The 19,362-nt window shown below is 36.3% G+C and overlaps 1 protein-coding gene and 1 long non-coding RNA gene across 24 annotated transcripts in view, besides 2 other annotated features; one reads left to right on the top strand and one right to left on the bottom strand.

The window, feature by feature from the left end:
- The window catches only part of LOC105370538 (uncharacterized), a 116,677-nt gene extending 106,247 nt beyond the window's left edge, over positions 1-10,430 (top strand). Inside the window, exon 5 of the long non-coding RNA XR_007064215.1 lies at positions 10,329-10,430. This is a non-coding gene — a long non-coding RNA (uncharacterized LOC105370538). The remainder of the gene's footprint in view (positions 1-10,328) is intronic.
- GPHN (gephyrin) overlaps positions 1-19,362 on the bottom strand; it is a 1,227,209-nt gene that overhangs the window by 652,238 nt on the left and 555,609 nt on the right. The window lies entirely within an intron of this gene.
- Positions 14,799-15,328: an enhancer, noted in NCBI's record as "H3K27ac-H3K4me1 hESC enhancer chr14:67534507-67535036 (GRCh37/hg19 assembly coordinates)". NCBI's record gives its function as "activates a minimal SCP1, AML or CMV promoter by ChIP-STARR-seq in primed H9 embryonic stem cells {active_cell/tissue: H9 hESC(primed)}" and the evidence as "EXISTENCE:reporter gene assay evidence [ECO:0000049][PMID:30033119]".
- Positions 15,329-15,858: an enhancer, noted in NCBI's record as "H3K27ac-H3K4me1 hESC enhancer chr14:67533977-67534506 (GRCh37/hg19 assembly coordinates)". NCBI's record gives its function as "activates a minimal SCP1, AML or CMV promoter by ChIP-STARR-seq in primed H9 embryonic stem cells {active_cell/tissue: H9 hESC(primed)}" and the evidence as "EXISTENCE:reporter gene assay evidence [ECO:0000049][PMID:30033119]".

The raw sequence follows: 19,362 nt of genomic DNA, 5'->3' as shown, positions 1-19,362 counted from the left end.
TTTCCTTTGTGTCTACTCAAAGCAACAAATATAGGTCTTACTCAAAATGTCTTTTTCTATCCTGGACTTCCAGAACAGTCTTTACTTTTATTTAAGTTCAATTATTCTTAAAAACCAAGGGCAAACTGAAAATAAGTGAAAACAAATGCCACACAAAAACTTGAGCATAATTATTTTTAACATCATTTTTCATAATAGCCAAAAGATGGAAACCTAAATATCCATCAACTGATGAATGAACAAACTGTGGTATATCTGTGGTACATCTATACAATGAAACATTACATAGCCATAAAAAGAAATGATGTATTTTTGGAAAACTACTAAACATTGCTGAAAGAAGTAACAGAGACAAGTAAATGGAAAGACAGCCTGTGTTCATATTGTTAATGTTCATACTACCCAAAGCAATCTACAAATTAAGTGCAATCCTATCAAAATCCCAAGGACATTTTTTATAAAAACAGAAAAACTCATCCTAAAATTTATATGGAATCTCAAGGGACTCCAAATAGCCAAAACAATTGTGAAAAAGAACAAAGTTGGAGGAGTCATGTTTCCTGATTTCAAAACATATTATGAAGCCACAGTAATCAAAACAGTATGGTACTGGCATAAACAGACATATAGATCAATGGAATAGAATAGAGAACTTAGAAATAAACCTTCATGTGTATAGTCAAATGATCTCTGATAAGGGTGTCAAGACCACTCAATGGGGAAAGGACAGTCTCTTCAACAAATGGTGCTAGTAAAATCAGATACCCAAATGCAAAAGAATAAAATTGGACTCTTACAATTATACTATATACCTCTACAAGGAAAACTACAAAACACTGCTGAAAGAAATCACAGATGACACAAACAAATGGAAACACATCCCATGCTCATGGGTGGGTAGAATCAATATTGTGAAAATGACCACACTGCCAAAAGCAATGTACAAATTCAATGTAATTTGCATCAAAATACCACCACCATTCTTCACAGAACTAGAAAAGACAATCCTAAAATTCATATAAAACCAAAAAAGGAGCCCACACAGCCAAAGCAAGACTAAGCAAAAAGAACAAATCTGGAGACATCACACTACGTGACTTCAAACTATACCGTAAGGCCATAGTCACTAAAACAACATGGTACTGGTATAAAAATAGGCACATAGACCAATGAAAGAGAATAGAGAACCCAGAAATAAATCCAATACTTACAGCCAACTGATCGTTGACAAAGCAAACAAAAACATAAAAGTGGGGAAAGGACACCCTATTCAACAAATGGTGCTGGGATAATTGGCAAGTCACATGTAGAAGAATGAAACTGGATCCTCCTCTCTCACCTTATGCAAAAATCAACTAAGTTGGATCAAGGACTTAAGCCTAAGAACTGAAACTATAAAAATTCTAGAAGATAACATCAGAAAAACCCTTCTAGACATTGGCTTAGGCAAAGACTTCATGACCAAGAATCCAAAAGCAAATGCAAGAAAAACAATGATAAATAGGTGGGACTTAATTAATCTAAAAAGTTTCTGCACAGCAAAAGAAACAATCAGCAAAGTAAACAGACAACCCACAGAGTGGGAGAAAATCTTCACAATTTACACATCTGACAAAGGACTAATATCTAGAATCTACGAGGAACTTAAGCAAATTAGCATGAAAAAACTATCCTGTCAAAAAATGGGCTAAGGACATGAATAGACAATTCTCAAAAGAAGATATACAAATGGTCAACAAATATATAAAAAAAATCGCCAATGATCAGGAAAATGCAAATCAAAACCACAATGTGATACCACCTTACTCTTGCAAGAATGGCCATAATGAAAAAATAAAAGAATAATAGATGTTGGTGGGGATGTGGTGAAAAGGGAATACTTTTACACTGCTGGTAGAAATGTAAACTTGTACAACCACTATGGCAAACAGTGTGGAGATTCCTTAAAGAACTGAAAGTAGAACTACCACTTGATCCAGCAATCCCACTACTGGGTATCTACCCAGAGGAAAAGAAGTAATTATACATGAAAGACACTTGCACATGCATGTTTATAGCAGCACAATTTGCAATTGCAAAAATATGGAACCAGCCCAAATGCCCACCAATCCATGAGTGGATAAAGAAATTGTGGTATATGTATACCACAGAATACTACTATTCAGCCAAAAAAGGAATGAAATAATGGCATTTGCAGCAAACTGGATGGAACTGGAGACCATTATTCCAAGTGAAGTAATTCAGGAATGAAAAACCAAACATTGTATGTTCTCACTTATAAGTGGGAGCTAAGCCATGAAGATGCAAAGGCATAAGAATGATACAGCGGACTTTGGGGACTTGGGGGAAAGGGTCGGAGGCAGGTGAGGGATAAAAGAATACAAATTGGGTACAGTGTATACAGCTTGGGTGATGGGTGCACCAGAATCTCACAAATCACCACTAAAGAACTTACTCATGTAAACAAACACCACCTGTTCCCTAATAACCTATGGAAATTAATAATAAGAAGAAGACAGTGAAAAAAACAACAACAAAGAAAATTAACTCAACCTGCATTAAAGACCTAAATGTAAGACCTAAAACTATAAAACTAGAAGAAAACAGGAAGTAGTTCATGACATTCAATGTGGCAATGATTTTTTTTTGGGATATGACACCAAAAACATAGGCAACTAAAGCAAAATAGACAAATGGGACTACATCTAACAGAAATATTTTGTGCATCAAAGAATGCAATCAACAGAGTAAAAAGGCAACCTATGAAATGAGAGAAAATAATTGCAAATCATATATCTAGTAAGAGTTAATATCCAGAATACATAAAGAGCTCTTACAACTCAACAACAAAAAATCACATGAATTTAAAATGAAAAAAAGACTTGAATACACATTTTCCCAAAGATGCTATACAAATAGCCAATGAGAATATAAAAAGATGCTCATTATCAGTAATTGTCAGAAAAATGAAAGTCAAAATCACAATGAGAACATCACCTTACTTATTAGGATAGCTACCATCAAAAAACCCAGAAAAGTTTTGGCATGAATAAGGAAACTGAAACCCTTGTGCACAGCTGGTGGGGTTATAAAATGGTGTAACCACTTGTAAAATAGTATGGAAGTTCCTCAAAAAATTAAAAATAGAACTATCATATGATCCAACAACCCCACTTCTGGGTATGTATTCAAAAGAATTAAAAGCAAGGTCTTGAATATGGTCATAGAAACTATATTCACAATAGTCAAGAGGTGGAAGCAACTCAAATGTTCATTAATAGGTGAATGAATAAACAATTAAAGTAGTCAAATTAATAGAAAAAAGTAGAATGATAGTTATCAGACGCTAGAGGGAGGTGTAAGAGTTATTTAATGGATAGAGAGTTTTGAATTTGCGAATTGAAACAATTCTGAAGATCTGTCTCACAAAAATATGAATATACTTAACACTGCTGAACTTAAAAATGGTTAAGATGATAAATTTTGTGTTGTGTTTTTACCACCACAACAAAGGAATGAATTACTGATACATGCTGTAACATGGATGAATCTTGAAAATATTAAGCTAAGTGGAAAAAGCCAGTTACAAAAGACCATGTATTATATGATCCTACTTATATGAAATGTCCCAAATAGGCAAATTTATAGAAACAGGAAGTAGACTAGTGGTTTATTTAGGGCTAGATGTGAAGATGAGGGGATAGGAGGATGATTGCTAAAAGGGACAGGCATTCTTTTTGAATTAATGAAAATGTTCTAAAATTGTGGTGATGGCTACACGTCTGAGTATACTAAAAACACTGAATACTTTGAATTGTATAGCATATGAATTATATCTTCTAAAATTGTGGTGATGGCTACACATGTCTGAATATACTAAAAACACTGAATACTTTGAATTTTATCTTGATAATTTTTTTTAAAGGCAAGTACAAGAGTTGTTTTAAAGAAGCATATTTCATTTCTATATGTGATATTTAGGAAAGTCATATTTATAGCACACATATACCATCTGGTCTTTTGTTAATATTATTAATATAAAATTTACAATATATATAACCAACCAGCTTTTTATTTTGAACTCACGCTATATATAGTGGTTGCTATATTTAAGGTAAATTAGATCCCTAGTGGATTAGTCCTGATTTTGGAGTTGGTATAAAGTCAACTTGTCAGCAAAGATTTAAGTCTCCTCAAAGAGAAAAGCATGCATGACCTCAAGTTTTGGTCTGAGAGCTTAAGGGAAGGGAAAAAAATATGGAGAGAAATAGGCAATCAAGTGGAAAATGGTAAGGGCTCCCAGTCGGCAGCAGATACAAAAGGAATCTTGAAGGAATAAATGCCAGATATACCTCTCTGCAAGCTGCTATATCCGTATCTCTCATTAAAGTTTAGGACTAAACAATTTTCTAGCTTTTCCAACCAGTCAGTATTAGACTTCATTCAATGTCAAGCCAAATGATCCATTTGGAATGTAAAGAGAATATAATAGTACTGCAAATTACTTAACCACATGGGACTGTCTCTCTTGCATTCGTACAGATACTTACACAGATGTGAAACCATCCCTTCCCTTTGCCCATAGGTAGAAGCTAAGCAGTAGTGTTGGATAAAACTTGTGCTTGTGATTTTAGAAAGGTATCCTAAGGCTTCAAACTTAAATGGGAACCGGGGAGCAGTAACTTCTCACCTGGATATTATGACTGTTTTAAGTTTAGCATTTGGTAGAGAAACAGCAGTGAGCAGCTGAAGCAGTGGGAGCCAAAGGGCTTACTGAAAAATGTAATTTCAGAAAAACATAAGCAAAATTTCCTTTTACCAGTTGCCCCATTCCAGGAAGAGCCCCATTTATAATAAGCAAAAGATGGCTTTCCCAATAGGCGATTAATATAACTAATATGCTTGCTTAGGAACATTTGATGTCGGGAATTTGCAGCTTTTCACAGACTGCTGTGAGCATTTCATTTTGCTGAAGGTTAGGCTGTGTGCCAAGAAGCTATGGTCCTGCTTTCATGGTCTGACTAGACAATGTTTATTCTGTTCTACTTTCTTCCACATATTGTATTGCATAAATTCTGTAAAATAATGTCTTCAATTTGATGAAGATGAAGACCATAAACACACATGCATATTTACGGATTCTACAGAGTGTCAGAAATCTTAAAGGCAAGGCTATGTAACACTGGGCACCCTGGGCCACATATACAATTAAGTGATCTCAGGCGGTAGACAAGAAGAAAGAGTGGAAAAAGACTGGCTGATACATTGTTTTGTGTGCCATGCTTACTTGTGCTGCAAGATAACAGTGGCAGTCTGGTTGGATCAAAAAGGGTAGTCTTTTTATGTTGTTAGTAGTACACATATAAAATTCAGTTTTCCATATGATAACAGTGATTAATGAATTCCCCACTAGCTGGAGTACTGGCTTTTTAAAACTGAGATGACTGGCCTAAGGTATCTTTAGAAAAAGTCTTTATCGATTCAAATGGCTGACAATGGACATACACACAAGAAAAATAAAGACAGGGAACTATGTCTAAAATTAAGTATGATTTGTGAGCATTGAGCTCAAATATATTCTCTAAAGGGGAAAATTAATAGTTAATTTGTTTGGTTGGGCATTTATTCTGACACAGATAATACAGATGTTTCTTGATTTACAATGAGGTTACATCCTGATAAACGCATTTTAAGTTGAAAACATGTGGCAAGTCAAAAATGCATTCAAATAGAGCTAAGAGAGTGAACATCAGAGCCTAGCCTTGCCTAACCTTACATGTGCTCGGGATGCTTACATTAACATACAGTTGGGCAGAATCATCTAACACAAAGCCTATTTTATAACAAAGTGTTGAATATCTCAGGTACTACATATCAACAGACCACAAAAATATCAAAATGCAAAATTTGAAGTATGTTGAAATTGTGATGGTTTTACATAATTGTAAGTAAAAAACAAAACAAAACAAAACAAAACAAAACCCACAAGTCAAATTATCACAAGTCAGTGACTGTCTATACTTTCTTCTTACTGTCCAAGTTAAGATGTTAGAAGAACTGAAAGGCTTTTGGATATAAGAGTGAAAAGCATTCTAATTTCTCAAAGTCACTTATCAAAATAATCCCACAGTTATAAAGTTCCCTGTGTAGTTAGCTCTAAGAGGCTTTTTAGAAAGTTAAGGGAGAGCTCTAAGTTCAGTGGTCCAGGAAATTGATTCCTTGTCATCACTTTGGCTAACCAAGATTTATCATTTATATGAATCGAGAGTGGAGAAAGAGTGTGGTAGGTAATAGAATGCTGAAAGGAAAACATACTACCTAAGCCTTTCAAATATAAAATGTGGACATAAATCCATCTGCTATTGATTATAAATTCTTCAAAAGTTTACTCATGCCCATTGTAACGGCATTGATGCTGCAACATTTAAAAGCCACCATTATACATAATCTATGTGAGAGGTTACTGTAAGATCTTTTTTCACATAACAACTATTCACTGCGCTTACCAAAAGAGCTGAAAAGGCAATGTCAAAACATATATTTACTCTGCTAAAATGACCATCAGTAGGAACAATATTAACTAAGGCTAAGGATTAAGAGGGTTACTATGAAAGGTGAAGCATGTACAGATTTGAGTCTCTACATCATTAAAAAAACTTTAAAGTGAATTACAGGGATACTTTAGAGATATTGCAGGGTTAGTTCAAGACTACCGCAATAAACTGAGTATTGCAGTACAGTGATTTACACCAATTTTCTGGTTAGCCAGTGCATGTAAGAGTTATGTTTACGCTATTCTGTAGTCTATTAAGTGTGAAATAGTATTATGTGAAAATAACAATGTACATACCTTAATTTAAAAAATACTTTATTGCTAAAAAATGCTAACAATTATCTGAGTCTTCAGCGAGTTGTAACGTTTTTGCTGGTGGAGGGTCTTGCCTCCATGTTGATGGCTGCTGACTGATCTGGGTGGTAGTTGCTTGTGGCTGGGGTGGCTGTGGCAATTTCTTAAAATAAGACAATAATGAAGTTTGCTATACTGATTGACTCTTTCCTTCATGAAAGATATCTCTGTAGCATGCAATGCTGTTGGACAGCATTTAATCCACAGTAGAACTTCTTTGAAAATTGGAGTCAATCCTCTTAAATCCTGTCACTACTTTACCAACTAAGTTTATGTAATATTCTAAATCCTTGGTTGTCATCATTTCAACAATGTCTACAGCATTTTTATCAGTAGATTCCATCTTAAGAAGCCCCTTTCTTTACTCATCCATAGGAAGTAACTCCTTATCTGTTCAAGTTTCATCATGAGATTGCAGCAATTCAGTCACATCTTCAGGTTTCATCTCTAATTCTAGTCCCCTTGCTATTTTGACGACATCGTAGTTACTTCTTCCACTGAAGCAGTGAACTACTTAAAGTCATCCATGAAGGTTGGAATCAACTTCTTTTCAACTCCTGTCAATGTTGATATTTGACCTCCTCCCGTGAATCATAAATGCTCTTAATGACATCTAGAATGGTGAATCCTTTCCAGAAAGTTTTCAATTTACTTTGCTCAGATCCACTATAGGAATCACTATCTATGGCAAGTATAGCCTTATAAAATGTATGTCTTAAATAATAACACTTGAATATTGAAATTACTCCTTGATCTATGGACTACAGAGGGGATGTTGTATTAGCATGCATGAAAACAACATTAATCTTGTACATCCCAATCAGAGCTCTTGGATGACTAGATGCAATATCAATAATAGTTATATTTTGAAAGAAATCTTTTTGTCTGAATAAGAGGTCTCAAGAAAAGACTTAACATAATCAGTAAACCAACCTGCAAAAAGATGTACTATCATCCAAGCTTTGTCATTTATAGAGCACAGGGAGGGAAGATTTAGCATAATTCTTAAAGCTACTAGGATTTTTAGAATGGCCAATGAGTATTGGCTTCAACTTAAAGTCACCAGCTACTTTAGCCCCTATCAGGAGAATCAGCCTGTCCTATAAAGCTTTGAAGACAGGAATTAATTTTTCCTCTATAGCAATGAAAGTCCTAGAAGGCATCTTCTTCCTATATATAAGACTGTTTCATCTACATTGAAAACCTGTTGCTTAGCATAGTCACCTTCATCAATGATCTTAGATAGATCTTCTGGATAACTTGCTGTTGCTTCTACATCAGTATTTGCTGCTTCACCTTGCATTGTTATATTATGGAGATGTATTCTGTCCTTAAAGCTCATAAGCCAACCTCTGCTGGCTTCAAACTTTTCTTCTATACCTTTTTCACCTCTCTCAACCTTCACAGAATTGAAAAGAGTTAGGGCCTTGCTCTGGATTACGCTTTGGCTTAAGGGAATGTTGGTCTACTGCACTTTTAATTTCCTTAAAGAACTTTTCCTTTGCATTCACAACTTGGCTGTAGCACCAGCGGCCTAGGTTTCTGGCTCTCTTGGCTTTTGACATGCCTTCCTCACTAAGCTTAATCATTTCCAGCTTTTGATTTAAAATGAGAGACATGTAATTTTTCCTTTCACTTGAATACTTAGAGGCCATTGTAGAGTTATTAAATGGCCTACTTTCAATCTTGCTGTGTCTCAGAGAATAGGGAGGCCCAAGGAGAGGGAGAAAAGGGAACAGCCAATTGGCAAAACAGTCAGAATTCACAGGTTTATCGATTAAGTCTGCCATCTTATAATGGGTGCAATTTGTGGTGCCCCCAAATAATAACAGTAGTAAAAACAAAGATCACTGACTACAGATCACTGTAAGAGATATAAAAATAACAAAGTATGAATTATTGTGAGAATTACCATAATGTGACACAGAGACATAAAGGAACACATGCTGTTGGAAAAATGGTGCCAAGAGACTTGCTCAATGTAGGACTGCCACAAACCTTCAATTTGTTAAAAAAAAAAAAAAGGAATATCTGCAAAGTCAATAAAGTGAGGTATGCATGTATAACATTCATAAGGAAAGTTTCACGGCTATTTATGAGATACTAAAATAAACATTTAACATGGTGGATGCCCTCAAGTCTATTCCAGTATAATTTATTCCTCACCTCTTTATTTGAAAGACCAACTAGACAAAACTTTGGTGTACTGCAGGTCTTGCTTATGTATTACAGGCTTTATATATTCGTAGAGTGAAAAAGATTGAATCATTTAGGGTTAAGATCTCCTTTGTTGAAAACCAGTACATTCATTAATCTAGTTACTCCAGAAGTTGTGTTAATGGAATAATAAAATTCCTATGCTTATAAAATACATAGCTTTCTCAAAGTGCTATTGTGTTGTGCACTTTTTTCCATCTAAAGATGCTCATTATCTGGCAATTACAGTTCTTATGTCATAAAATAAAATAAGCTTTATGTAAGGTTATAGAGTTTGGAATAAATACAAATGTTATGATTACCAGAAATGATTAAGCCATGATTTAGTGGTACAAAAAGATGCAACAGAATTGGTAATGAATTAGTTATTAAGTTGGGTTGGTGTTTCATGTTTATTTTATCACTACAACTTCCATCTGTGTTACATATATTCATTTCTATGTATAAAACATTAAACTTTTAAAATAACTGTGTAAATATAAAAAGCATTTAACTTAATTAACATGAAAGGGGTACGTTTTTAGGAAGAATAATTTTTAAAAATATCTAAAATGTCCTTGAGGTCACAGAAAATGCTTCAATTGAGAGCAAATGCCTACTTTTTTCAGTACTTAATGATGAAAACCTTGCCACACCCTGGTCAAATGAGTAGGATATCACTGATAAATGGGTAGCACTTACGTCCAATGGGTGAATTTGTTGGTCAGGATTTTGTGCAAAGAAAGAAAGAAAATGTTCACTCTGTAGTCTGAATAATTTAAATTCTTCTTTAATGGTAATTTCTCAGTCACTGTCCTATAATTTTGAACCATGTACTTTTCTTTTTGAACCCTGGATCTTAGTATTCTAAAAATAACTGTTAAGTTTTTTCCCACAAAGAGTGGTCCTGTGTTAGAATATTACTGTGGCCATTAATTAAAAAAACAAAGTTTATATGCAGGAAATATTTTATAAAATAAAAAATAAAATAAAATGCATGATGAAACAAAGCTCCTAGATGGGATGTAAGAAGAAATACATACCAATATGCCAACTATGATACTGACTTTGAAGAAATACTGGTGGCTTATTTCCATATTGCTAGAATGAAAGTAAGGAAATTAGCAAGGCATTATAGTCACAGGGTTGCAACAGTATTACCAAATCATTCACTGTTATATCCAAATGATAAGACATTAATGGTTTGTATTTTTTTTTTTTTTAGGAAGTTAACCAAGGAGACTGGGATTCTGCAGAAGAGGAGTTTATAGAAACTGAAAACGAGATTTTAGAAAATAGTCAATAAATTCCATTTTTGGAAAATTGAGTTAAAGTATTAAAGATTATTGCAACTAAGTTACATTCTTATACACATTCAGACACATAAGAAAGAGTATTGTTGATTAGAATCTTTGTGTCTCTGATTTTCTTCTTATGCTTTTGTCTCACAATTAAATAAAAGGAAGAACTGGGTTTCCCTGATACTTACCCTCTGCTGCTTGGGATGAGCTAATGGTCTCCTAGGAGTTGCAAAGTCTTTACTTGAGAAAACAGTCAAAAAGGTAATTCTTGCAGCACTAGGTGCTCTAATGAGAAAGTGAATCACTCAAACTTAAAAAAATAACCCTGCTGGTACTGGCAAATCCTTTACTGTCACCTAAGGTTTTCTCTTTTAATTTTCACTAATTTTCATAATTCCACCAATAAAACATTAGGAATAGACAGGGATGAGTTGTAATTTCTAAAAATATTGGAGATCCTTCTTTACTGGAATAAGGTATTTTTATGCCATTACTTCTGAGAAAATTTCTATTTTTTTCCATTTTAACTTAAAACATTTTTTTCCACTGCATACATTCTGAATCCTCATGTAATTCTATAGACTAAGGAACTTCAAAATAGATACAGAATTTAAAAATTGCAAGATAAACTACAGCAAATAAGACATGTATATAGAAAATGTGAAAACATAATGAGGTACCTATAAATAATGGAAATATTAAGAATCATATCTAAAGACTGTACCTTATTTTAACCACAAGTATAGTCAATAAAAGCTGTGTAAATTAACTTTAAAAATCCTATTGAAAAATTAACCCCCCCTTCCTTTTTGGATTAAGTATTGTTTTCTACTAAAATTGCTTAAAGAGATATATTTGTAATGTGCTTTTTTCAATTTTCTATTTCATTTTCCTACTTTACTTTTTATTTATAATATACTTTATTTTTTTTAAGAGTGAATATGTATAGGAACATATATAATGGTATGCATAGAAGGAAGTGTGAAAAAGGAAGATCAGTCTACCTGATTGCGACATAGGGCAATTTAGGCCAAGGTTATAGGCCTGATTTTTTTTTAAATTTAAATTTAAATTTTTTATTATTATACTTTAAGTTCCAGGGTACATGTGCACCACGTGCAGGTTTGGTATGTATGTATACATGTGCCATGTTGGTGTGCTGCACCCATTAACTCGTCATTTACATTAGGTATATCTCCTAATGTTATCCCTCCCCACTCCCCCCATCCCATAACAGGCCCCAGTGTGTGATATTCCCCTTCCTGTGTCCAAGTGTTCTCATTGTTCAATTCCCACCTATGAGTGAGAACATGCGGTGTTTGGTTTTCTGTCCTTGCGATAGTTTGCTCAGAATGATGGTTTCCAGCTTCATTCATGTCCCTACAAAGAACATGAACTCATCATTTTTTATGGCTGCATAGTATTTCATGGTGTATATGTGTCACATTTTCTTAATCCAGTCTATCATTGATGGACATTTGGGTTGGTTCCAAGTCTTTGCTATTGTGAATAGTGCTGCAATCAACATACGTGTGCATGAGTCTTTATAGCAGCATCATTTATAATCCTTTGGGTATATGCCCAGTAATGGGATGGCTGGGTCAAATGGTATTTCTAGTTCTAGATCCTTGAGGAATTGCCACACTATCTTCCACAATGGTTGAACTAGTTTACAGTCCCACCAACAGTGTAAAAGTGTTCCTATTTCTTCACATCCTCTCCAGCACCTGTTGTTTCCTGACTTTTTAATGACTGGCATTCTAACTGGTGTGAGATGGTGTCTCATTGTAGTTTTGATTTGCATTTCTCTGATGGTATAGGCCTGATTTCTGTGTGAATAGGTAATTTTATTCAATTACATAGCTATAAAAATAACCCCCCTAAACAAGAAGGCTTAATAAGTACGGTGGTAAAAGCACACAAGTGGGACCCACAGTACTGGGGGAAAAAGCACCTGAAAGCACATATACAGAATGCTGATTGGATATATATATATATTTTTTTTTTTTTTTTTTTTTTGAGATGAAGTCTCACTCTGTCACTAGGCTAGAGTACAATGGCACGATCTCAGCTCACTACAACCTCCACCTCCCGGGTTCAAACAATTCTTCTGCCTCAGCCTCCCCAGTAGCTGGGATTACAGGTGTGCACCACCACACCCAGCTAATTTTTGTATTTTTAGTAGAGACGCGGTTTCACCATATTGGCCAGGCTGGCCTCGAACTCCTGACCTTGTGACCCGCCCACCTCGGCCTCCTGAAGTGCTGGGATTACAGGCGTGAGCCACCGCGCCCGGCCGGTAATATAATTTTTGAATATGAAGATACCATGATTAGTTACAAGTTGTGATTTTATATATATATGTGTGTATATATATATATATAAAAATATTTAAAATGTATATATATATACACACACACACAAACATATATATACACACATATATGTCACAAAAATATATTGAGGGATTAAGATATACATTTTGAAGAATGCAGGGAGTATAAAGGTAATGATATAATAAGATGCAGAAGTAGAAGGATATAATGAGATGTGCATATTTTAGCAGTGTAATGAAGTTCATGGAATGATGAGTCTAAAGAGATATGAATACCTGAAGGGAATTATGAATGAGTTTAAGAGGCCACATTCATGGAAAAATTAAAAAATAGACAGCAAATGCCAGCACAGACCAACATCCCTTTGCAAGTAGAATCATTCTAAGTGAAGACCTTACTAGACTGAAGGTAGAAACTTAAGGCAGTGATTTGGATAATAAAAATATATGCTTTCACTTGAAATATTTGAATAGGTATCTCAATTCTTTGCTTCAATTTTGTACAGCTCAATCAGAGAAGAGCAAAAATAAAAAATAAAATAAAAACTGCTGCTTAATTAAATTTTCTAATGAGACAGAGATATATTCCTGAATGACCTGGGTGGGTGGAATTAAAATTTGATTACATCAAAATGCATACAGGATCCAGATGCAGGCCAACAAATGGAGTTGAGCCAATTTTAGCTTTTGCTGTCTTGGGAATTTTATTTTAGATTATAAGCTGTAAGCTTTTTTATTTAAGATTACATGATTAAAGACTTCAGTGTCTTTGACCTAGGTTCTTTGTTTTTCCACTTTAGCAGTTCTAGTCAAGGAACCTTTAAGTTTTGCTGTTGGAACTAAGTTTGTAGCAGTGAAGTATCTCTTTTAGAATACTGACCACGGCACATAGGCACATGTTCCCGTCTCTGACTTCCAGCTAGTTAGCTGCCTGAGCATAGGCAGTTATCTTAAGCTGAGATTGGCTTCCCTTTAGAAGAAATTCTGAAGCTCTTGATTCCAAGCAGTAGGAAGTCCTCACCAAGGTCATACTGTAAATACTCTGTAATTTACAAGTGCTTATCTCAGGGTTATGATCTTAGAATCCCCATGTTAGGAGAGTAGAGGAAAGGGAAGCAGTTGCTGAATTCCAAATAGAGCATGTTAGCGAAAATAAAATTATTTACACAATATTATCTCCTTTAATAGTATCCTACAATAACCCTACATTGGGTAGACATTATTTCCATTTTGCATAGGAGGGAGATAAGACCTAGAAAGGTTAAGTAGCTTGTCCAGGGTCATTTGGCTAGTAAAAGGTAGAGCAAGTAAAAGAGCCAAAGAGTGTCTTGACAAAGCTACTTCTAAGTATACCTTATTTCCTTTTCCCTTATTCTCTAACAGCCCCTGAACCATCAGGAAGAGTTAATGAACTCCCAGTATGACCTTGGTGAGGACTTCCTACTGCTTGGAATCAAGAGCTTCAGAATTTCTTCTAAAGGGAAGCCAATCTCAGCTTAAGATAACTGCCTATGCTCAGGCAGCTAACTAGCTAGAAGTCAGAGACGGGAACATGTGCCTTTGTGCTGTGGTCAGTATTCTAAAAGAGATATTTCACTGCTCCAAACTTACTTCCAACAGCAAAACTTAAAGTTTCCTTGACTAGAACTGCTAAAGTGGAAAAGCAGAGAACCTAGGTCAGAGACACTGAAGTCTTTAATCATGTAATCTTAAATAAAAAAGCTTACAGCTTATAATCTAACATAAAATTCCCAAGAAAGCAAAATCCTTTCTATTAAAAAAAAGCTCATAGTTTTTCCATTGTATATAGAAAAAGATTGGGAATTTCAGGGAATGGTGCCAGAATATTTTAATCTGCCTTACAGAAGTTGATACTGTACCAAGTGTGAAGTTGTAATTTATTCATGTCATGCATTTTACAAATAAAGAAAATGAATCATAAATGTTAGTCTTACAAATGTTATCATCCATAGTTATGCCAGGAATGCCTATCAGTGGAATACTTGTTCCTTAAAATCCTCACTTGCAGATAGGAGCTGAAAATAGTAATAGGCTAAAAGACAGACCAGAGAAAATAGAAAATTCATCGGTAGTCAAAATAGAAAAACAGAAAACACTTTATACATGCAAACACGTCTAGGCACTTGCTTTATAAGAATAATGTTTACATTGATTTGAGATGCAGTATGCTATAGTGAAATGAACACCAGACTGGGAGTTAAGGATCCCGGGTTCCAGTTGTTGTAACCATAACTATTTGTCTAACTTTAAGAATATCACTGGGACTCTGTTCCAAGATGGCCGAATAGGAACAGCTCCATTCTGCAGCTCCCAGCATGACCGACGCAGAAGACAGGTGATTTCTGCATTTCCAACTGAGGTACCCAGTTCATCTCATTGGGATGGGTTGGACAGTGGGTGCAGCCCATGGAGGGCGAGTCGAAGCAGGGCGGGGCGTCACCTCACCCAGGAAGTGCAAGGGGTTGGGGGATTTCCCTTTCCTAGCCAAGGGAAGCCGTGACAGATTGTACCTCGAAAAACGGGGCATTCCTGCCCAAATCCTGTGCTTTTCCCACAGTCTTAGCAACTGGCAGACCAGGAGATTCTCTCCCATGCCTGGCTTGGCAGGTCCCAAACCCATGGAGCCTTGCTCACTGCTAGCACAGCAGTCTGAGATCAACCTGCCAGGCTGCAGCCTGGCGGGGGGAGGGGCATCCACCATTGCTGAGGCTTGAGTAGGTAAACAAAGTGGCCAGGAAGCTTGAACTGGGCGGAGCTCACCACAGCTCAGCAAGGCCTACTGCCTCTACAGACTCCACCTTTGTGGGCAGGGCATAGCTGAACAAAAGGCAGGAGAAAATTCTGCAGACTTAAACGTCCCTGTCTGACAGCTCTGAAGAGAGCAGTGGTTCTACCAGCACGTCGTTTGAGCTCTGAGAATGGACAGACTGCATCATCAAGTGAGTCCCTGACCCCTGTGTAGCCTAACTGAAAGACATCTCCTAGTAGGGGCCAGCAGACACCTCATACAGGCAGGTGTCCCTCTGGGATGAAGCTTCCAGAGGAAGCATCAGGCAGCAATATTTGCTGTTATGCAATATTTGCTGTTCTGCAGCCTCTGCTGGTGATACCCAAGGAAACAGTGTCTGGAGTGGACCTCCAGCAAACTCCAACAGATCTGCAGCTGAGCGACCTGACTCCTGGAAGGAAAACTAACAAACAGAAAGGAATAGCATCACCATCAACAAAAAGGACATCCACACCAAAACCCCATCTGTAGGTCACCAACGTCAAAGACCAAAGGTAGATAAAACCACAAAGATGGTGAGAATCCAGAGCAGAAAAGCTGAAAATTCTAAAAACCAGAGCGCCTTTTCTCCTCCAAAGGATCGCAGCTCCTCACCAGCAATGGAACAAAGCTAGATGGAGAATGTCTTTGACAAGTTGACAGAAGTAGGCTTCAGAAGGTCCGTAATAACAAACTTCTCCGAGCTAAAGGAGCATGTTCTAACCCATCACAAGGAAGCTAAAAACCTTGAAAAAAGGTTAGACGAATGGCTAATGAGAATAAACAGTGTAGAGAAGACCTTAAGTGACCTGATGTAGCTGAAAACCAAGGCACGAGAACTTCGGGAGGCATGCACTAGCTTCAATAGCAAATTTGATCAAATGGAAGAAAGGATATCAGTGATTGAAGATCAAATTAATGAAATAAAGTGAGAAGGCAAGTTTAGAAAAAAAAGAGTAAAAAGAAACGAACAAAGCCTCCAAGAAATATGGGACTATGTGAAAAGACAAATTCTACATTTGATTGTTGTACTTCAAAGTGATAGGGAGAATGGAACCAGGTTGAAAAACACTCTTTAGGACATTATCAAGGAGAACTTTCCCAACTTAGCAAGGCAGGCCAGCATTCAATTTCAGGGAATACAGAGAACACCACAAAGATACTCCTCGAGAAAAACAACCCCAAGACACATAATTGTCAATTTCACCAAGGTTGAAATGAAGGAAAAAATGTTAAGGGCAGCCAGAGAGAAAGGTCAGGTTACCCACAAAGGGAAGCCCATCAGACTAACTGCGGATCTCTCTGCAGAAACCCTGCAATCCAGAAGAGAGTGGGGGCCAATATTCAACATTCTTAAAGAAAAGAATTTTCAACCCAGAATTTCATATCCAGCCAACATAAATGAAGGAGAAATAAAGTCCTTTACAGACAAGCAAATGCTCAGAGATTTTGTCACCACCAGGCCTGTGTTACAAGAGTTCCTAAAGGAAGCACTAAACATGGAAAGGAACAACTGGTACCAGCCACTGCAAAAACCTGCCAAATTGTAAAGAACATCAATGCTATGAAGAAACTGCATCAATTAACAGGTAAAATAACCAGGTAACATCATAATGACAGGATCAAATCTACACCTAACAATATGGACCTTAAATGTAAATAGGCTAAATGCCCCAATTAAAAGACACAGACTGGCAAATTGGATAAAGAGTCAAGCCCCATCAATGTGCTGTATTCAGGAGACCCATCTCTGTGCAAAGACACACATAGGCTCAAAATAAAGGGATGGAGGAAGATCTAACAATCAAATGGAAAGCAAAAAAAAAAAAAAAAGCAGGGGTTGCCATCCTAATCTCTCATAAAACAGACTTTAAACCAACAAAGATCAAAAGAGACAAAGAAGGCCATTATATAATGGTAAAGGGATCAATGCAGCAGGAAGAGCTAACTATTCTAAATATATATGCACCCAAGACAGGAGCACCCAGATTCGTAAAGCAAGTCCTTAGAGACCTACAAAGAGACTTCGACTCCCACACAATAATAATGGGAGACTTTAACACCCCACTGTCAATATTAGATCAACGAGACAGAAGGTTAACAAGGATATCCAGGACTCAAACTCAGCTCTGGACCAAGCAGACCTAATAGACATCTACAGAGTTCTCCACCCCAAATCAACAGAATATACAGTCTTCTCAGCACCACATTGCACGTATTCTAAAATTGACAACATAATTGGAAGTAAAGCACTCCTCAGCAAATGTAAAAGAACAGAAATCACAACATACTGTCTCTCAGACCACAGTGCAATCAAATTAGAACTCAGGATTAAGAAACTCACTCAAAACCGCACAAGCACATGGAAACTGAACAACCTGCTCCTGAATGACTACTGGGTACATAATGAAATGAAGGCAGAAATAAAGATGTTCTTTGAAACCAATGAGAACGAAGACATGATGTACCAGAATCTCTGGGACACATTTAAAGCAGTGTGTAGAGGGAAACTTATAGCACTAAATGCCCACAAGAGAAAGCAGGAAAGATCTAAAATTGACACCCTAACATCATAATTAAAAGAACTAGAGAAGCAAGAGCAAACACATTCAAAAGCTAGCAGAAGGCAAGAAATAACTAAGATCAGAGCAGAACTGAAGGAGACAGAGACACGAAAAACCCTTCAAAAAATCAATGAATCCAGGAGCTGGTTTTTGAAAGGATCGACAAAATTGATAGACCGCTAGCATGACTAATAAAGAAGAAAAGAGATAAGAACCAAATAGATGCAATAAAAAATGATAAAGGGGATATCACCACTGATCCCACAGAAATACAAATTACCATCAGAGAATACCATAAACACCTCTATGCAAATAAACTAAAAAATCTAGAAGAAATGGATAAATTCCTGGACACATACACCCTCCCAAGACTAAAGCAGGAAGAAGTTGAATCTCTGAATAGACCAATAATGGGCTCTGAAATTGAGGCAATAATTAATAGCCTACCAACCAAAAAAAGTCCAGGACCAGATGGATTCACAGCCAAATTCTACGAGAGGTACAAAGAGGAGTTGGTATCATTCCTTCTGAAACTATTCCAATCAATAGAAAAAGAGGGAATCCTCCCTAACTCATTTTATGAGGCTAGCATCATCTTGATACCAAAACCTGGCAGAGACACAACAAAAAAAGAGAATTTTAGACCAATATCCCTGAAGAACATCGATGCAAAAATCCTCAATAAAATACTGGCAAACCGAATCCGGCAGCCCATCGAAAAGCTTATCCACCACGATCAAGTCGGCTTCATCCCTGAGATGAAAGGCTGGTTCAAAAAATGCAAATCAATAAACGTAATCCATCACATAAACCAAACCAATGACAAAAACCACATGATTATCTCAATAGATGCAGAAAAGGCCTTCGACAAAACTCAACAGCCCTTCATGCTAAAAACTCTCAATAAACTAGGTATTGATGGAATGCATCTCAAAATAATAAGAGCTATTTATGACAAACCCACAGCCAATATCATACTGAATGGGCAAAAACTGGAAGCATTCCCTTTGAAAACCAGCACAACACAAGGATGTCTTCTCTCACCACTCCTATTCAACATGGTGTTGGAAGTTCTGGCCAGGGACAATCAGGCAAAAGAAAGAAATAAAAGGTATTCAATTAGGAAAAGAGGAAGTCAAATTGTCTCTGTTTGCAGATGACATGATTGTCTATTTAGAAAACTCCATCGTCTCAGCCCAAAATCTCCTTAAGCTGATAAGCAACTTCAGCAAAGTCTCAAGATACAAAATCAACCTGCAAAAATCACAAGC

Source organism: Homo sapiens, chromosome 14, assembly GCF_000001405.40.
Source record: "Homo sapiens chromosome 14, GRCh38.p14 Primary Assembly".
NCBI lineage: Eukaryota > Metazoa > Chordata > Mammalia > Primates > Hominidae > Homo > Homo sapiens.
The sequence above is the reverse complement of the archived record's forward strand: the minus strand, read 5'-3'. Positions and strand labels throughout refer to the sequence as shown.